Source organism: Homo sapiens, chromosome 6 (assembly GCF_000001405.40).
Source record: "Homo sapiens chromosome 6, GRCh38.p14 Primary Assembly".
Lineage (NCBI taxonomy): Eukaryota > Metazoa > Chordata > Mammalia > Primates > Hominidae > Homo > Homo sapiens.
Genome location: NC_000006.12, coordinates 13933660 through 13951066, shown reverse-complemented (window position 1 = coordinate 13951066; position 17407 = coordinate 13933660). Strand labels below are relative to the sequence as shown.

The 17407-nt window shown below is 36.8% G+C and overlaps 1 protein-coding gene and 1 pseudogene across 7 annotated transcripts in view, besides 1 other annotated feature; both read right to left on the bottom strand.

The window, feature by feature from the left end:
• RNF182 (ring finger protein 182) overlaps window positions 1–17407 on the bottom strand; it is a 55865-nt gene that overhangs the window by 29244 nt on the left and 9214 nt on the right. The gene's annotated exons all lie outside the window — the stretch shown is intronic.
• MRPL35P1 (mitochondrial ribosomal protein L35 pseudogene 1) lies at window positions 1457–1975 on the bottom strand (annotated as a pseudogene).
• Window positions 6609–7124: an enhancer, noted in NCBI's record as "NANOG hESC enhancer chr6:13944174-13944689 (GRCh37/hg19 assembly coordinates)". NCBI's record gives its function as "activates a minimal SCP1, AML or CMV promoter by ChIP-STARR-seq in primed H9 embryonic stem cells {active_cell/tissue: H9 hESC(primed)}" and the evidence as "EXISTENCE:reporter gene assay evidence [ECO:0000049][PMID:30033119]".

The window sequence follows — 17407 nt, the reverse complement described above, 5'->3', positions numbered from 1 at the left end:
TCAGCACTTTGGAAGGCTGAGGTGGGCAGATCACCTGAGGCCAGGTGTTCAAGACCAGCCTGGCCAACATGGTGACACCCCGTCTCTACTAAATATACAAAAGTTAGCCAGGTGTGGTGGCACACGACTGTAGTCCCAGCTACTCAGGAGGCTGAGGCAGGAGAATCACTTGAACCCAAGAGCCAGAGATTGCAGTGAGCTGAGATTGCATCACTGCACTCCAGCCTAGGTGACAGAACAAGACTCTATCTCAAAAAAAATAAAGGGGGAGTGCAGGTGTGGTGGCTCATGCCTGTAATCTCAGCACTTTGGGAAGCCAAGGCAGGCAGATTACCTGAGATCAGGAGTTCAAGACCAGCCTGGCCAACATGGTGAAGCCCCATCTCTACTAAAAATACAAAAATTAGCCATGTGTGGTGGTGTGTGCCTGTAATCCCAGGTACTCGGGAGGTTGAGGCACGAGAATTGTTGAACCCGGGAGATGGAGGTTGCAGGGAGCCAAGATTGTGTTATCACACTCCAACGTGGGAGACAGAGCAGGACTCTGTCAAAAAAAAAAAAAAAAAAAGTACCTGTTTTGTCAGAAAAATAAAAACTTTAATGTCATTTAGTTCACATGACTTTTAGACATTTAGTCTAAATTAGGCAAGCTGAATACTGTCCTTGGTAAATGTGTTAAGGTCATAAACTGCTTCTATGACATTTTTTATAATTATTTGACTTGTCTGCTTTACAGCGAATTCCAGGTAAGGCCTTGAGATGTATGGAATTAGCCTGGTCCCCTGACTAGGCTGGGAAGGTCAGACTTTACAGCTCTGTCCTTGTCTTGGGCTCTACAATCTGATACAAGGTTAAAATCGCTCACTCACCAAGTTTTTCACCAAAAATAAAAGTTGCTACGAGTTAACATTGTAACATATGTAATTGAGACTATTGGAGCAAGGTATGTAAGAAAAGTAGAATGTATTTTTTGTAAAAGCTTATAAAAAGACATGGGAATGTGAGAAGTTTCTTGCCTAGTTCAGAGGGCTGAATAATTATTTTAAGTTAGATAGAATAAAGCTAAAAATTTGAGCAAATGGTGGAAAGTTTGTGAAAAATTAATCTTGTAAAAGAAATTCTGTGTGTGAACAAATTGACTAAAATTAAGAGGGTATTGTTTAGTTTTTCCATAAATTGAATACTGGAAAAATGCACAACAGGGTTTTCTTAGAGCACTGATCTACTCTTCAGCAAAATTTTTTTTAAGTTTTAAAACTTTTATAAGTTTAACGTTGGCACTGTATGTTTACCTATTCGTTGGTACAATTTACATCAAGTTTTATACTTACCCATTTTTGTGAAGATATCGTACACAAAGATACATATTCAATAACTGAGAAACAAGTAAAACTTCTGATCTATACTTTCAGGTTTGTTCGATCATGATAACTTCTGATAAGAATCATCGTCATATCAGTTTTTCACCTCTTCCAGAAGGACATCATCATTTTATCTAAGAGTTCACTCTGGGTTTTACTGCAGAACACAGATTCCCTCAATTGCTTTTTTCTTGCAAGTGTCTTTTTCCGTAATTTTTTCTTATAACCAGCCTTTCTCGTCAACCAAAGGCCAGAATGAAGTCAAAGAAACCTATAGATGACAGCTTTCACAGTCTTTCTCTTGCCTTTTTGTGTACAAATGAATGTTAGAGATCTGACTGGCAGCTTCAGGACACTTGGAAGCAAGGGGGCCACTCTATTAAAGATTACCGCAGGATGCCCACATGTCAGGTTTCTGACAGATGTGGTAAGTCTGGGAGCAGAGGAAACAACTGGTGTCTGAATATGACTAAAACGTCCAGTGGACAATGCAGAAATAAGAGAGGCATTCTTGACACACAGTTTTGGTAGGCTGAAGATGCCAAAATATTCAGGGGCTATAAGATTCCTGAAGCTGCTCTCACTGCACTGGCAAAGGCAGTGGCAGCCATCTTGCCATCAACAAAAAATTTAAAGGGTTATAAAAGGTTTGTGAAAATCTTACTTTATGGTCAAACTGATTAGGAGTGAGTAGATTTTGTCCGTATGATTTTATTAAAAATTGGATTTGACATTAATAGTACATTAATGCAAAAGTGAAATTTGGCTTTCTCTTTTGAACAAGATTTTCATGTAATATTAAAAGATAAAAGATTTTTGTTTGTCTTTTGAATAAACTAAAGAAAAAAAAAGAAAGGAGAGAAAAGAGACATTATTTGGAAAGCTAACTCTTCCCTCTATCAATGGGTAAAGGTTTTTGCCTTTTTAAAATCTTTAAGTTGTCATTTTGGCTAAATAAATGACTTACAGTGACCTGAGATTCTATTTTATAACATAAAGTGTTTTACACCTTTGCTATTTAACAAACATTCCCAAATCAAACTAGGACTTAAGTAGGACCTAAAGACTTAATAAGTCTTTCCTGACTTGATAATCCTTTTAGATATTAGGTCCCCTGAAGTCCAATAATGGCATATTTGACTTATTTGACATACTAAAATCATACAGGAAGTACTGTCAAATACAAAATGGCATCTGACATTTTTTGGGTTATTTAAATGTGTTATTGGTATGTGTTCCAAAATTATGCAAAACTACTATAATTCTGGTATAACTTAGTATATGTTATCATTAATAGTTATAATTGTTATCTTAAATTATTGTGTGCCACAAGGGGCCAAATTTCCTTGTCAATTGTGTCTCTGACTGTAGCTGCCCTAAGACTTTTTGTCATCTACAAGCAATTGTCTTGTTTTGATTCTCTTCAAAAGGCAGTTTATAATCAGTTATAGGACTCTGACAAGTACTCTTATAAAGCAGGACTTTCACAGCTTTGAAATGTATGCCATTAAAACGAAGAAAAACTTCCAAGACTCTTGGAAAACTAATGTATTCATAAATATTGAGAAAAACAGGAATTGCATAGACAACTAATAGAAGACCAAAATAATCTATTCATGACTTTTTGCCTTTGTTTTGTTTTTCAGAGTCAAGAAAACTTTTATTTTGAGCTATTTACAGCTTTCAACAATTGAGTATAATATACTACTGTAAACAAAATTTAGAGCACATTTCTTTCTCTCTACCTGATTTCTCCCAAATTTGGAAACTATTTGTGAGTATTTTTAACTTATGGTGATATAGCTATTTACATAAGTCCAGTAAGAATTTTTCCTTTGTGACAAGACACAATTGGAGACACTGGTTATTTTACCAAGGCTTTGACTGGAATGACTGACATGCTTTCAAATGTAAACAAACTGGTTTAAGGAATCAAAATTCATTTATAGAGCCAATTAAAGCCCCTAAGAAAACTGACCTCATATCTTGAGCCTTGTACAGGGCTCCTGACCTGTAGCAAGTAAAGAATGTCACTTTCTGACAGGCCCAGGAGCCCCAAATATCTTGGGACATCCAGAGGAGAGAAACTTATCCAACTCATATTTGCAGACACACATAAATCCATGACTGGTCTCAAGGCTTTAAAAAGTCTAATCTAAGATTAGATTATAGAACACAGTTCCATCAAAGCCAAAAGAGCCTATATGGCAAATAATTATTCTTGCTTCACTTTATACAAATAACCAGGCCACATACAATAAGACTAAAATTTATTTTGCCAACAAATCAGTCCACATACAATAAGACTAAAATTTATTTTGCCAACAAATCAGTCCTACCATGGTTTGTTTAAATAAAAATAGGGACTGGAGAGAGAAAAATTATGTTTCACAAACTATGGTACACCTGTTACCAGACTCTAGTCTCATCCATTGTTTTTGAGTTTTTTCTGCAATTTAGACTGACCCTGCTTATTCCTGTGAACCAACCAGTGATCTCTGGCTGCTGCTCAAAAGAAACATGAGGCATGATTAACATAAAAATCTGAATCACTATTCTAATTCTGGACACATAATGAAATCAGCTAGCGACCCCATATCAGCTTGGTTCCCACAATTGCCCAGTTCATAGAAAGCTCTTATTTAATTTTAGACAATTTTACTGATTTCGCTTTACAGTTGTAGAATATATTGCTGTTGTACTCTTTGTATATAATTCAGGATAAGCTTACTCAATGTTTTCTTAAATACTTACTAATCTTCCAGGTATCATCTTTCATCAGGACTCAGAGTTTTGAATGACCTTCACCATACTAACACTTTATGACTAAACTCCTCCCAACTCTAAATACAAGAGACCCTAAAAATTGTTAGGCAGGAATATCATTGCCCCTGTTCAGCCTGAAGAAGCTACAGAAGATAAATTTCTATCCCTCTGCAACCTTCAGGATTAAGGGTCCCCTTATAAATGGGAGGGGGGAAATGTGTCAGAGGCATTCAAACCAGAGTGACTCCATCTTGAATTAGGGCTGGGTAAAATGAGGCTGAGACCTACTGTGCTGGATTCCCAGGAGGCTAGACATTTTTAGTCATAGGATATTTACAGTTAAGGGAAGAAGTTAATAATGTTTACTGAACAGACCCAGGACTTAACAAACCCAGGAAATAACAGACCCAGGAAATGTCCTGATGTCCTGATATCTTATGAACAAAAGCATTCTTAGTTTAAGAATAAGTTTTGCAGTCAGGTACGGTGGCTCATGCCTGTAATCCCAACACTTTGGGAGGCCAAGGCGGGTGGATCACCTGAGGTCAGGGGTTTGAGACCAGCCTGTCCAACATGGTAAAACCCCATTTCTACTAAAATACAAAAATTACCCAGGCATAATGCACATGCCTGTAGTTCCAGCTGCTCAGGAGGCTGAGGCAGGAGAATTGCTTCAACCCAGGAGGCAGAGGTTGCAGTGAGCTGAGATTGTGCCACTGCACTCTAGCCTGGGCAACAGAGCAGGACTCTATCTCAAAATAATAATAATAATAATAATAATAATAATAATAATAATAATGTTTTGCTTTAAAGATAATACAGATTCTTTCCAAAGTAGTTACACAAAGATTAACAATACTTTGTCACAAACCCTTGTAGTAAAGCACATCTCCCCATGACTTTTTCCTTTGTTATATATAAATAAGCATTATACCTAAGGCAGACGTGTTTCTCCTCTTGCTTTTGGGAATGCCCTAGTCTCTCTATGGAATAGCCACCCTTTTATTCCCTTACTTCCTTAATGTACTTGTTTTCACTTTACTCTGTGGACTCACCTCAAATTCTTTATTGCACAAGATCCAAGAACCCTCTCTTGAGGTCTGGTTTGGGACCCCTTTCTGGTAACAGATCCACTGGTGTAATCAGAATGAATGGGATGCCAAAAAGGCAGAGGAAAACTGTCAAGATGAAATTAAGGCACAGCAGTAATGGAATATAACAAGGGAATAAACATTTTACTGTTTAACACAAAAAATAGCATAAACTAATAGGTCTTAACACAAATAAGAGAAGAGGTCTATGTCAATCTTTGAAATTGTTAAAACATTGTAGTGACAAAAATTTTTTTAAGGTTCATTTGTTTATCCATGTTGGTTGTTTTGTTGTTGTTGTCATGTTGCTGTTACTATATTTTTGCCTAACCTATAGCATCACACTAAACACTTCAGACAGAAGTGTTTAAAACAGAAAGCTCTGCAAAATCATCTAAACGGGCTCTGAGGGGCACTGCTGAAGTACCATCATCTCCTCATAAGGGCAATTCCAACGTTTAAGGTTATTTGCTAAAAGAATGCCCTGGCAACGAAGTGGCAGTTTCACATTTGATACATACATTTTGTGATGACAACATCTGAGGGTAAATCCCTAAAGTGGGCCACAATAATTTTTGGCTAAATCAAGCCCAGCTCTCTCTAATGTACAGACTCTGAGATCTTGAGTAAATCACTTAAACTTTCTGGGTCATGGCTTTTTCATCTGAGAAATTAAGATTCTGGGCTTGATGGCTAAAGACCTTCCAGCTCCAACATAACAGGGCTCTATAACTAAGAGCAACCTTTCCACATGTATTGGGGTGTTAGCAGGAATTCAAGTGACAACTGAGGGCATTTCCACCCTAAGAAAGCAAATCTCTAGTAACACTCTTATGTTCTCACTCCTCAATGTTTATTAAGCCCGGCTAAATGTTCTTCTTAGGATCAGGCACTTAGTAAGCAGCTTAGCAATCTTAACTGTTATTAATGTAAATCACTTCTGAGGAAAGCAAATTGCTATATAACAATATTAAAATACATACTGATGATCAGAGTCATTTGAAGTCAAAAACATCTGGGTTGGAATCCCAACTCCACTGATCACTGACTATATGACCCTGAACATGTTATTTAAAATATCTGTGCTTCTGTCTCTTGATTGTAACATAGAGACAGTACTGACCTCACAGGTGTATTGAAAGGATTAAGTACAAATAACAGATATAGCACACCTGGTTAACTAAACATTCGTTCTTTCTCAGCCAGTGCTGGACATTAAATTCTGATAGGTATGCCTAATTTCCACCCCATTTCTGGTTTCATCCTGAATTTCCATGCATAAATTACCTTTCCTTGCCCTGCATTATTGACAAAGACCCTCTCCTTGACCAAACTTTAGTCAGGCTCCTCTGAGTCCTCTTTTCAACTAGGCCTCCACTTTGACCTATACAAACTGCAACTTTCAGCACAACCCATTTCATCAACCCTCCACACTAAGACATTTGAACAAACACTAGCTCAGGTTCTATCAGCCCAAGGCCATGTCCCTAGGATGACAAAACCACCTCCTTAACATGCCTACCTGAGAAAGCTCAGAGCTTTCTCAAATTATTTCTTAAGCCAAAATAACTTACTGTTGGTTCTAGCCAACACCTGATAATAGGTCCCTGACCTTCCTTTTCTAGAGCATTTACTCCTGAAAGCTTGCAACTGTAAATCTTTTCCTTGTACCTTTGAGATGTAAATCCTCTACCACCCAGAAACAGTTCCTCAAGGACCTGGGAGCCACCTCTTTGAAATGTAAACATCCAGAGAGATACCTCTCCTGTTGCCCAGTTCTTCTTGTAGGAGGGTAAGAGCCTAACTGGTGGGCATCTTGTCCCAAATTGCAAAGCTATATTTCCTGTCCTAAAGACACAAGAACCAATTTGCACAACTATATTTCCTGTCCTAAGGATACAAGAAGTTTGTTTCTCCTCCAGATAAACACCAATTAACAAACCCACACTGCCTAACTACACATACAAATCACCCTTAATGTCTTTTAGTACCTTTTGTTTAGTACATCCCAGCATTTAAAAGGGCTCCTGTCTTTTGTTCAGTTCAGTTAAGCTCCGGTAACACTGAGGTCTCTCCCCTACTGAAGTAGTACTGAATAAAATATGTCTTATCATTTTTAAAAGTGTCGGCTGCAAAACTTTAACATTATTCACTTAGCAAACATTTGTTGAATACTTCCCATGTTCTAGGTGCCATACAATGATACTAACAATGAGCAAGACATTGTCACCTTCCTCAAAAAATTTGTAATTCACAGAGGGGGACAGGCATGTATGCAAAATATAGCAGTTCCAAGGCGGTAAGATAAGTACCAATGGTACAAAGTTGTAACTAGCATCTCAAAATTCACTTACCCAGTAGCATACATGATTTACTGTTAAAAAAAGAAAGTCCATTTTTATATCTCCATCAAAAAAACATGGACTTCAGCCAGGCACAGTGGCTCAGGCCTCTAATCCTATCACTTTGGAAGGCTGAGGCAGGAGGATCACTTGAGCCCAGCAGTTCAAGAACAACTTGGACAACACGGTGAGACCCTATTTCTACAAAAAGAAAAAAAAAAAAAGCAGGAACCACCTCTATGCACATGGTAATAACACCTTACATTGTATAGCATTTTATTTTTACCAAGGGTTTTGATATATATGTTATTAAATATTTTTTATTTGGATGAGTAAAAGTATACATTAACAGTACTTTATAATTTAGAAACTACTTTCACCATTTAGATAAGGTAGCCATTAGTATTCCCTGAATGTAATTAAATAACTATAGCTCTATCAGGGCTGTTTGTATCTACTAATCTACCAAATAAGAATTTCAGAAAAGACAAAGAATAAGGTAAGATTTTCTTTCTCTGGTTGCAGAACTCTGTGAATTTAACTAAGATCATTGAATGCTACACCTACAATGGGTGAATTTTATGGCGTATAAGTTATACTTCCATAAAGCCCTAACAAAATAAAATAAAAATAAGAACGGAACAGAAGATGAGAACATTAGTGAATTGAAACATAGGTCATTAGAAAGTTTCCAAACTAAAGAGGAAAAAATACAATGGAAAATAGGAAAAAGAGTTTAGGAGTCAAATAGAACAGGGTGAAAGAGTCTAAAGGATATAAAATTGTACTTCTAGGAGCAGAGGAAAGTGATCAGACCAGAAGAAATACTATTTGATGAGATAGCTGCTGAGAATATTCTAAAACTGGCCAGGGGTGGTGGCTCACACCTGTAATCCCAGCACTCTGGTAGGCTGAGGCAAGTAGATCAGTTGAGGACAGGAGTTTGAGATCAGTCTGGCCAAAATGGTAAAATCTTATCTCTACTGAAAACACAAAAATTAGCCAGGTGTGGTGGCACGTGTAGTCAGTCCCAGCTACTCAGAAGGCTGAGGCAGGAGGATCACCTAAGCCCAGGAGGCAGAGGTTGCAGTGAGCTGAGATCACACCACTTGACTCCAGCCTGGGCCACAGAGCAAGATTTTGTCTCAAAAAAAATTTTTTTTAATTAAAGAATATTCTAAAACTGATTCAAGAACCTCTATGATCCCCAAGCAAGATAGACAGTAAAGAAAAAGTGTCTCAGCATATCTTAACAGAACCCTTCAATACCAAACACAAAGAAAAAATTTTTAACACACAGAGGAAAAAGGCACATCACCTCTAAAGGACCAAAGTGAGACTGACAGCCAATTTCTCAACAAAAACAATGGAAAACAGAGGACAATGAAATTACATCTTTAAAGTACTGAAAGAAACTGACAACCTAGAATTCCACATGCAGCAAAAATATGCTTCAAAAATTAAGACAAAATAGTTTCAAACAAGTAAAAATAGAAAGAAATACTAAAGGGAGTTCTTCCAGCAGAAAGAAAATAATCCCAAAGGGAAACACAGACTTACATGAAGGAATGAAAATAAATGATAAATATAGATAAATACTAACTGTATAAAACAGCAATAATGTATAATGTTATTTTATTCATGTGTGGAATTAAACTGATACAACGATTCCAAAAAGAGCAAGGGGTTTATAGAGTCAAAGTATTCTAATAACACTACACCATCACGGAAGGATTAAAATACTAATTTAAAGTATATTCATAAGTGAAAAATAGATGTTATAATCTCTAGGATAACAGTCAAAAGAGTAAAACACAATGTATAACTAACAAGAAAAGAGAGAAGAAAACTGAATTAAAATTTCTTTATTAATTTTTTTAAAGGCAAGAAAGAAAAAAAGAACAAAGAACAGATAGGACAGTTAGAAAACAAATAGTACAATGGGAAGTTTAAACCCAATTATATTATCAAGTACTTTACATGTAAATGAACTATTAGCTGCTCCAAAGACTGTCAGGTGAGATAAGTAAACAAAAGCCAGCTATATGCGGCTTATAAAAGAAACAACTAAAAATAGAGTCAGGAAATTTAAAGTATATAAGAAGATATACCATGCAAACACTAACCAACTAACAAAGGAGAGTTGGTATATACTACTATAAGACCTGTAGACAGTAAGTCAAGAACCATTATGAGAGCTACAGAGAGGAAAGGTGTCCAATACACCAAGGAATTATAACAATTATAAGTTTGTATATATCCAATAACATATCCTCAAAATATATACTTAAAAACTGACAGAATGAAAGGTAGAAAAATTCATCATCTCAGTGAGAGATTTTGCTTATCCTTCCCAGTAATTGACAGAACAAGCAGACTGAAAAATTGTAGATAGAAACTTTGATCAATACAATTAATGAATTTGACCCAATCTATGTGCACCAAATTCTGCAATTACAACTACAGATTGATTATATTGTATAGTCTATTCAAGTGCATGTCTATCACTCAGCAAAAATGATCATATCCAGGCCATAAGAATAGTCTCAAAAAAAAAGACTAAAATGTTAATAGCGTGTTCTTTGACAATAGCTGGATTAAGCTAGAAATCAACAAAAAGATTTTTAGAATATCCTAAACCGTTGGAAATTAAGTAATAAATGTCTAATAACTTATGGTCAAAGAAAAAACACATGGATATTTTTAAATATTTTGAGCAGAAAAAATGTGACAGAATTTAAGAGCATACTATTAAAGCCATGCTTGAGGAAAATGCAGAGCTTCGAATGCATATGTTAGAAAAGTTGAAAATCAATAATCTAAGTAGCATTTTCACAAAGTTAGAAAAAACAGAAAACCTAAAGCCAAAAATATTAGGAAAGAACAAACTATGAACAGAAATGAATAAATTAGAAAATAAGCATACAATAGCAAAAAAAAGTCAAAATAAGTTCACTGATAAAATAATAAATTTGATAAACCCCAGGCAAGACTGATCAAGGGGGGAAAAAAGGCACAGATTGTAAATATCAAAAATGAAAAGGGAGGCACTATTCAGCTACTTACACCAATCTCTCTCCTAAACATAGACAAATTCTCAAACAAAATTTCACTAAATTGAGTCCAACAAAACACTAAAATAATAGCACATCAGTTGGATTTATTATAGAAATGCAAAACTGTTCTAACATTTTTTTAAAATGTGATTACCATATTGACAAAATAAAGGAGGAACAAATCATATCATCATCTCGATAAATGCGGAAAATCATTTGCTAAAACTCAACACATGTTCATGATTAAAATATCTATTAATTAGAAATAAGAGATCTTCTTAATCGATAAAAAGGTTTCAACAACACTTGTAAGCAAGAGCCATATTTTAAATATTGAATGCTTTCCCCCTGAAATTGGGAATAAGACAAAGTACATGCTATCACCATTTCTATTCAAAATTATAATTGAGGTCCTAGATAGAGCAATGAGGCAATAAAAAAAAGTGTAAGATACAAGAATCAGGCAAGAAAGAAACAAAGCTCTTTATTCATCACATACAGTGATGTACACAGAAAATCCAAATCATTCTACAAATAAGTTATTAAGATTAAGAAGTGAATGCAGCAAAATCCCTAGAATCAAGGTCAAGATACAAAAATGCATTTATGCCCGGGCACAGTGGCTCACGCCTGTAATCCCAGCACTTTGGAAGGCTGAGGCGGGTGGATCACGAGGTCAGGAGATCAAGATCATCCTGGCTAACAAGGTGAAACCCCATCTCTACTAAAAATACAAAAAATTAGCCAGGCGTGGTGGCAGGCGCCTGTAGTCCCAGCTACTCAGGAGGCTGAGGCAGGAGAATGGCATGAACCTGGGAGGCAGGGCTTGCAGCGAGCCCAGATCGCGCCACTGCACTCCAGTGTGGGCAACAGAGAGAGACTCTGTCTCAAAAAATAAAAATAAAAAAATAAAAATAAATACAAAATAAAAAAATAAAAACAAAAATGTATTTATATACACAAGAAACAAAAAATTACAAGGTGAAAAGATGGCATTTGCAATAACAACAAAAAGAACAAATCTAATGAAAGAAGTACAATACTACAGAGAGAACTTCAAAACATTACTTAGAGAAATTAAAGACAACATAATTAAATGGAGAGCTATATTGTGTTCATTGATTAGAAGACTCAATATTATAAAAATGTCAACTCTCCCAAACTGATCTACACAGTCAATGCAATTCCAATCAAAATCTATCAGGTTGTTTGTGGAAACTGACAGGATGATACTAAAATTTGTATGTAAACGCCAAACACTAAAAATGGGCTAAAAGAAAATCAAGACAAAAAACAAAACTGAAGAACTTATACTACCTGATATCAGGATTACATCAATGTAAAACACTTTTTGGTTTTGTTTTTTTGAGACAGGGTCTTGCTCTTGTTGCCCAGGCTAGAGTGCAGTGGTGCAATCTTGGCTCACTACAACCTCTGCCTCCTGGGTTCAAGCAATTCACATGCCTCAGCCACCCAAGTAGCTGGGATTACAGGCGTGAACCACCACACCTGGCTTATTTTTGTATTTTTAGTAGAGACGGGGTTTCACCATGTTGGCCAGGCTGGTCTCAAACTCCTGACCTCAGGTGATCCACCCACCTCGGCCTCCCAAAGTGCTGGGATTATGTAAGACACTTTATTAGACAAATACATCATAAGGACAAAATACAGAATCCAGACAGAGATTCACAAGCATATGATTACTTATTTTTATGAAAAGAATGCCACTGCAATTTAATGGAGAAGAGATAATATTTTCAATAAATAACGCTGGGTCAACAGGATATTTACATAGATAAAAATCATTTTGACCCTTACCTCACACCCTACACAAAAATCAATTCAAAGGGGTTATAGATCTAAATGTGAAAAGTAAAACAATAAAACTTCTTGGTAGCATAGGAGAATATCTTCATGATATTGGAGCAGGCAAAAAATTCTTAAAGAAGACACAAAAAGCACTAACATTAAAAGAAGATGTATAAATGAGTTCATTAAAATTAAACACTTCTCATTGAAAAATTATAAGAGTTAAAAGCAAGCTACAGTGTGGAAGAATTCTGTAACACATACATTGCACAAAGGACTTCTATCTAGAAAATATAAAGAACTCCATAAAAATCAATAAGAAAAAGGCCAGGCGCAGTGGCTCACGCCTGTAATCCCAGCACTTTGGGAGGGCGAGGTTGGCAGATTACGAGGTCAGGAGATTGAGACCATCCTGGCTATCACGGTGAAACCCCGTCTCTACTAAAAAAAAAAAAAAAAAAAAAAATACAAAAAATTAGCCAGGCATGGTGGCGGGCGCCTGTAGTCCCAGTTACGCAGAGACCGAGGCAGGAGAATGGCGTGAACCCGGTAGGCGGAGTTTGCAGTGAGCGGAGACTGCACTCCAGCCTGGGCGACGACAGAAACTCTGTCTCAAAAAAAAAAAAAAAAAAAAAAACAGTAAGAAAAAGATAATCTTTTTTAATGGACAAAAATATTTGAACTGGCATTTCATGGAAGAGGCTATCCAAATGGCTAATAAAACATGAAAAAATGCTCAATATCACTTATTAGGAAAGTACAAATAAAAACTACAATGAGATATCATTTTTCATCTGCTACTATGACTGGCAATACCAACTATGAGCAAGAATGAGAAACAACTAGAACTTTCATACACTGATGTTGAGAATGTCGCCGATATAACCACCTGGACAACTGTTTGGCAAATGTTTGATAGCAGTATCACAGCTAAATCATACATATAACCCATGACCTTTCTACTTCTACACAGATGCACAACAGAAATGCTCACATACACATGTATAAGAATGTTTATAGCAGCACTATTTGTAATAGGTGAAATGGGAACAACCCAAATGTCTATGAACAGTAAATGATTTTAAAAATTGTGCTACAGGCAGCAATGAAATACTATACCAAAATGAGAGAGACAAAAAACAAACTATTACTACATCCAGCAGCAAGGATGAATATCCCAAATAGTTGGTGAAAGCTATCATACACACACACATAAAGTACACACTGCCTGATTCCATTTGTATAAAGTTCTAAACTGGGCAAAACTAATCAACAGTGTTAGAATTCAGACTATGGGTCACCTTTGGGGGCAGGTAATAACTGAAAAAGGCAAAGGAAGGATTTGGGGGTAATAGTAATCTTCTATTTTTTGATGTGAGTAGTAGTTACACAGGAGACTCACTTGAAAATGCATAAAAGCTATATATCCTTACGATTCGTGCACTTTTCTATATGTATGTTAACCTTCAATAACAAATGTATTTAAAAATAAAAGTAATGCTTCCTATGTCTATACAAGATACATACAACACAAAACAAGTAATGTGATTGTGAAAAGTCTATATGCAACACCATGAGAGACTTTCTAAAACTCAAATCTGATCATTTACTCTCCTGCTCAACATATTTTAACGTCTTCCTAATCTGGCCTCTGTCTACCTCACCAGCCACATCTCTTACTCCTTTCTCCTCCTCGACCTCACTCCACCCCCTCCCCAATTCTTTTTACTCTCCAAAAGAAGCCACATTATTTCAAATGGATTCTAAGCTTTTATGATGCCCTGTTCCCTCTTTATAGCTCTTTTACCCACACTTACCACCCCAAACTGTCCCATATTTGCCTGCTTTCCTGGGACATCCTTCATCCAGTATAGACATCAATTATTCCCAAATCCCAAATCTTGCTTGGATGCCTCTCCTACAGACTCCACAGGCATCACACATATGCCCCATCATGGCACACACTTGTGTAATGACCAGACACTTATCTGTAATTTCTTCTGTTAGCCTCAGGAGGGTAGGGCTATACCTGATTTGTTCATCTTTGAGTCATTAGTGCCTAGCACAGTGTTACTTAAGAAATTTCCCACTCTACAATGTGAGATTTTTACAAGAGCTGTCTAAATGTTCCCCTTTTTAAACTGCCTGTGAAAGAAAAATTTATATTTATAGACCAATCAACCACGACCATGTAAATTTACTGCAGACCAAAGAATAATTGAATCTCAGTAGAGATATTATCCTGAGTTCTAAAATGCTTTAAGCTTCTCCTAATTATGTGTCCAATTGTTGACATAAAGCTCTTTAAGGATTTCTAACTCTTCCATCATTGTCTGTACAGATAGGGAAAGGGAAAACATTAAATTTTTTATGATGCTAGTTCCTTACTGATATGGTTTGGCTCTGTGTCCCCACCCAAATCTCATGTTGAATTGTAATTCCCAATGTTGGAGGCGGGGCCTGGTGGTAGGTGATTAGATCAAGGGGCAGTTTCTAATGGTTTAGCACAATCCCCATAGTGCTATCTCGCGACAGAATTCTCAGGAGATCTGGTTCTTTGAAAGTGTGTGCCACCTCTCCCATCTCTCTTCCTCCTTCCTGCTCTGGCCATGTAAGATGTGCCTCTTTTCCCTTGGCCTTGTGCCATGATTGTTAAGTTTCCTGAGGCCTCCCCAACCATGCTTCCTGTACAGCCTGCAGAACTGTGAGTCAATTAAATCTCTTTTCTTCATAAATTACCCACTCTCAAGTAGTTCCTTATAGCAATGTGAGAATGGACTAATACACTCATCAAACTGTATCAATAGCATAGCCCATTTCTAATGCCCCATTATAATAAGTGATGTCTATCTCAAATGAATCATAGTAAGATGTCTTATTTTTAAACATCTTTTGTAGTATGTATTCAATGTAAGATACATTGCTGAGTAACTTCTATCCATACATTATCATGATTAAGAGATCATAACAATTTCAACAATTTCAGTGACATCCTGTGGTTATAACTAATGTGCTATCTTTTTGGATCATCAAATGTTCTGACTTCCTGTGAAAACATCTTCTACTTATTAATATGTAGCTTGTAAGTCATTCCACTGTCAGAATCAGAGTGAAGGACTTCCAACTCTAATCTGCATATATGAATAAAGGCCTTGATATTCTGACTTTAGGAATACTTTCCTGCCAGCTACAATAATTTATTTGGTCATGATACACACACATATCTTGTGTGTGTGAAATATGGAAAATGCTGAATTGACAGTTAAGTCAACATACGGGGACTACATCTGGGAATACAACACAGGGATTACAACTTTAGGCAAAAAGAAAAAAAAAAGACATTGTTTCTGCCCTGTTGGAGCTTACAGTCTAGTGACGATGGTATCAATCGATCACATAAATAAATGTAAAATTAGAACTGTGGTAAATACACCATCTCTCACCTGGACTATTGACATTGGCTCCTAACAAGTCTCCCTGCTACCAATCTTGCCCCCTTGCATCTTCCATGTACATCCATTCTCTACATGGAAGAATATTTCTAAAATGTTAACCAAATTACTCCCATCTTTCCCAGACCATCTCTACACAAAGTCCTAGAATGGCTTCCTATTCCACATAGAATAAAACCCAAGTCCTTACACTGAATAACAAAGTCTGGAGCAATCTGGCCACCCCTTTTCTTTCTAACCGCATTTCATCTGACTCTCCTGTCTTCTCTCTCTGCCTCAGGGCCTTTGCACTGATTCTGTCTGAAATGCTCTGCTCTTGATCAAATCTTCTCGTCACTCAAATCCCTATTTAAATGTTACCTTACCCTTTAATCTAAGGTACTCATCCACTCATTTGCATTAATTATCTCAATTTTATTTATCTCTGCTAATATTCTTGTTTATTTATTTGGATTTTGTTTGTCCAGGACAGGAGAATAATGAACAAACTAGAAAAAAGGAATGGAGCTGCCAGCCAGCATTAAGAGCTCATGCGTGGATCACAGTTCAGTCTTCATAATCCTATCTAAATGGCAAACTACCTATGACAAAACAGAGATGGCATAAGCTTACCTCACTGCACCACCTTTGGAACTATTACAACTGTTGTAAACAAATCAAAAAAACATTGTTGGAGAAGTCACTCAGAAAAATAGGCGAAGGTATAGAATATTTGGATCTAATGAAATTACATTAAAATGCCTTTCAAACCCAGCAGATGTCATTAAAACAACTAACGTAACTGTGAGCGACGGAAATGAAGAATCCAACAGAATGAAAGGAGATATCTCAAACACTGGTGGGCACGGCCTAAAGCTGACATAGACAGGCTTGGCCCTCCTGTATAGTCATCATAACAACAGGAGACTCCATAACAATAAGAGACAGGGTGAGGAGTGACTCTGAATCAAGTCTAGGACTACACTATTCAACATGGCAGCCACTAGTCATGTTTGGCTATTGAGCACTTGAAATGTGGCTGGTGCAACTAAGAAGCTGAAATCTACATCATATTTAATTTCAATTAATTTAAATTTAGAAACTGAAACAATGAAAAATACTTTTCCTGCAAATACAACATTACTTTTTTGGTAAGGCCACATTTCTTTTTTTTAATTTTTTTTCCTGTTTTTGAGACCGAGTCTTCCCCTGTTGCCCAGGCTGGAGTGCAGTGGTGCAATCTTGGCTCACTGCAACCACTGCCTCCCAGGTTCAAGCGATTCTCCTGCCTCAGCTTCCCGAGTAGCTGGGACTACAGGCGCATGCCACCAGGCCTAGCTAATTTTTGTATTTTTAGTGGAGACGGGGTTTCACCACATTGGCCAGGTTGGTCTCGAACTACCGACCTCAGGTGACCTGTCCACCTCAGCCTTCCAAAGCGCTGGGATTACAGGCATAAGCCACCATGCCTGGCCTCACTTTAACTGCTGAAAATATATCCTCCAAATTGAGATGTTCTCTAAGTGTAAAATGCATATCAGATTCGAAATA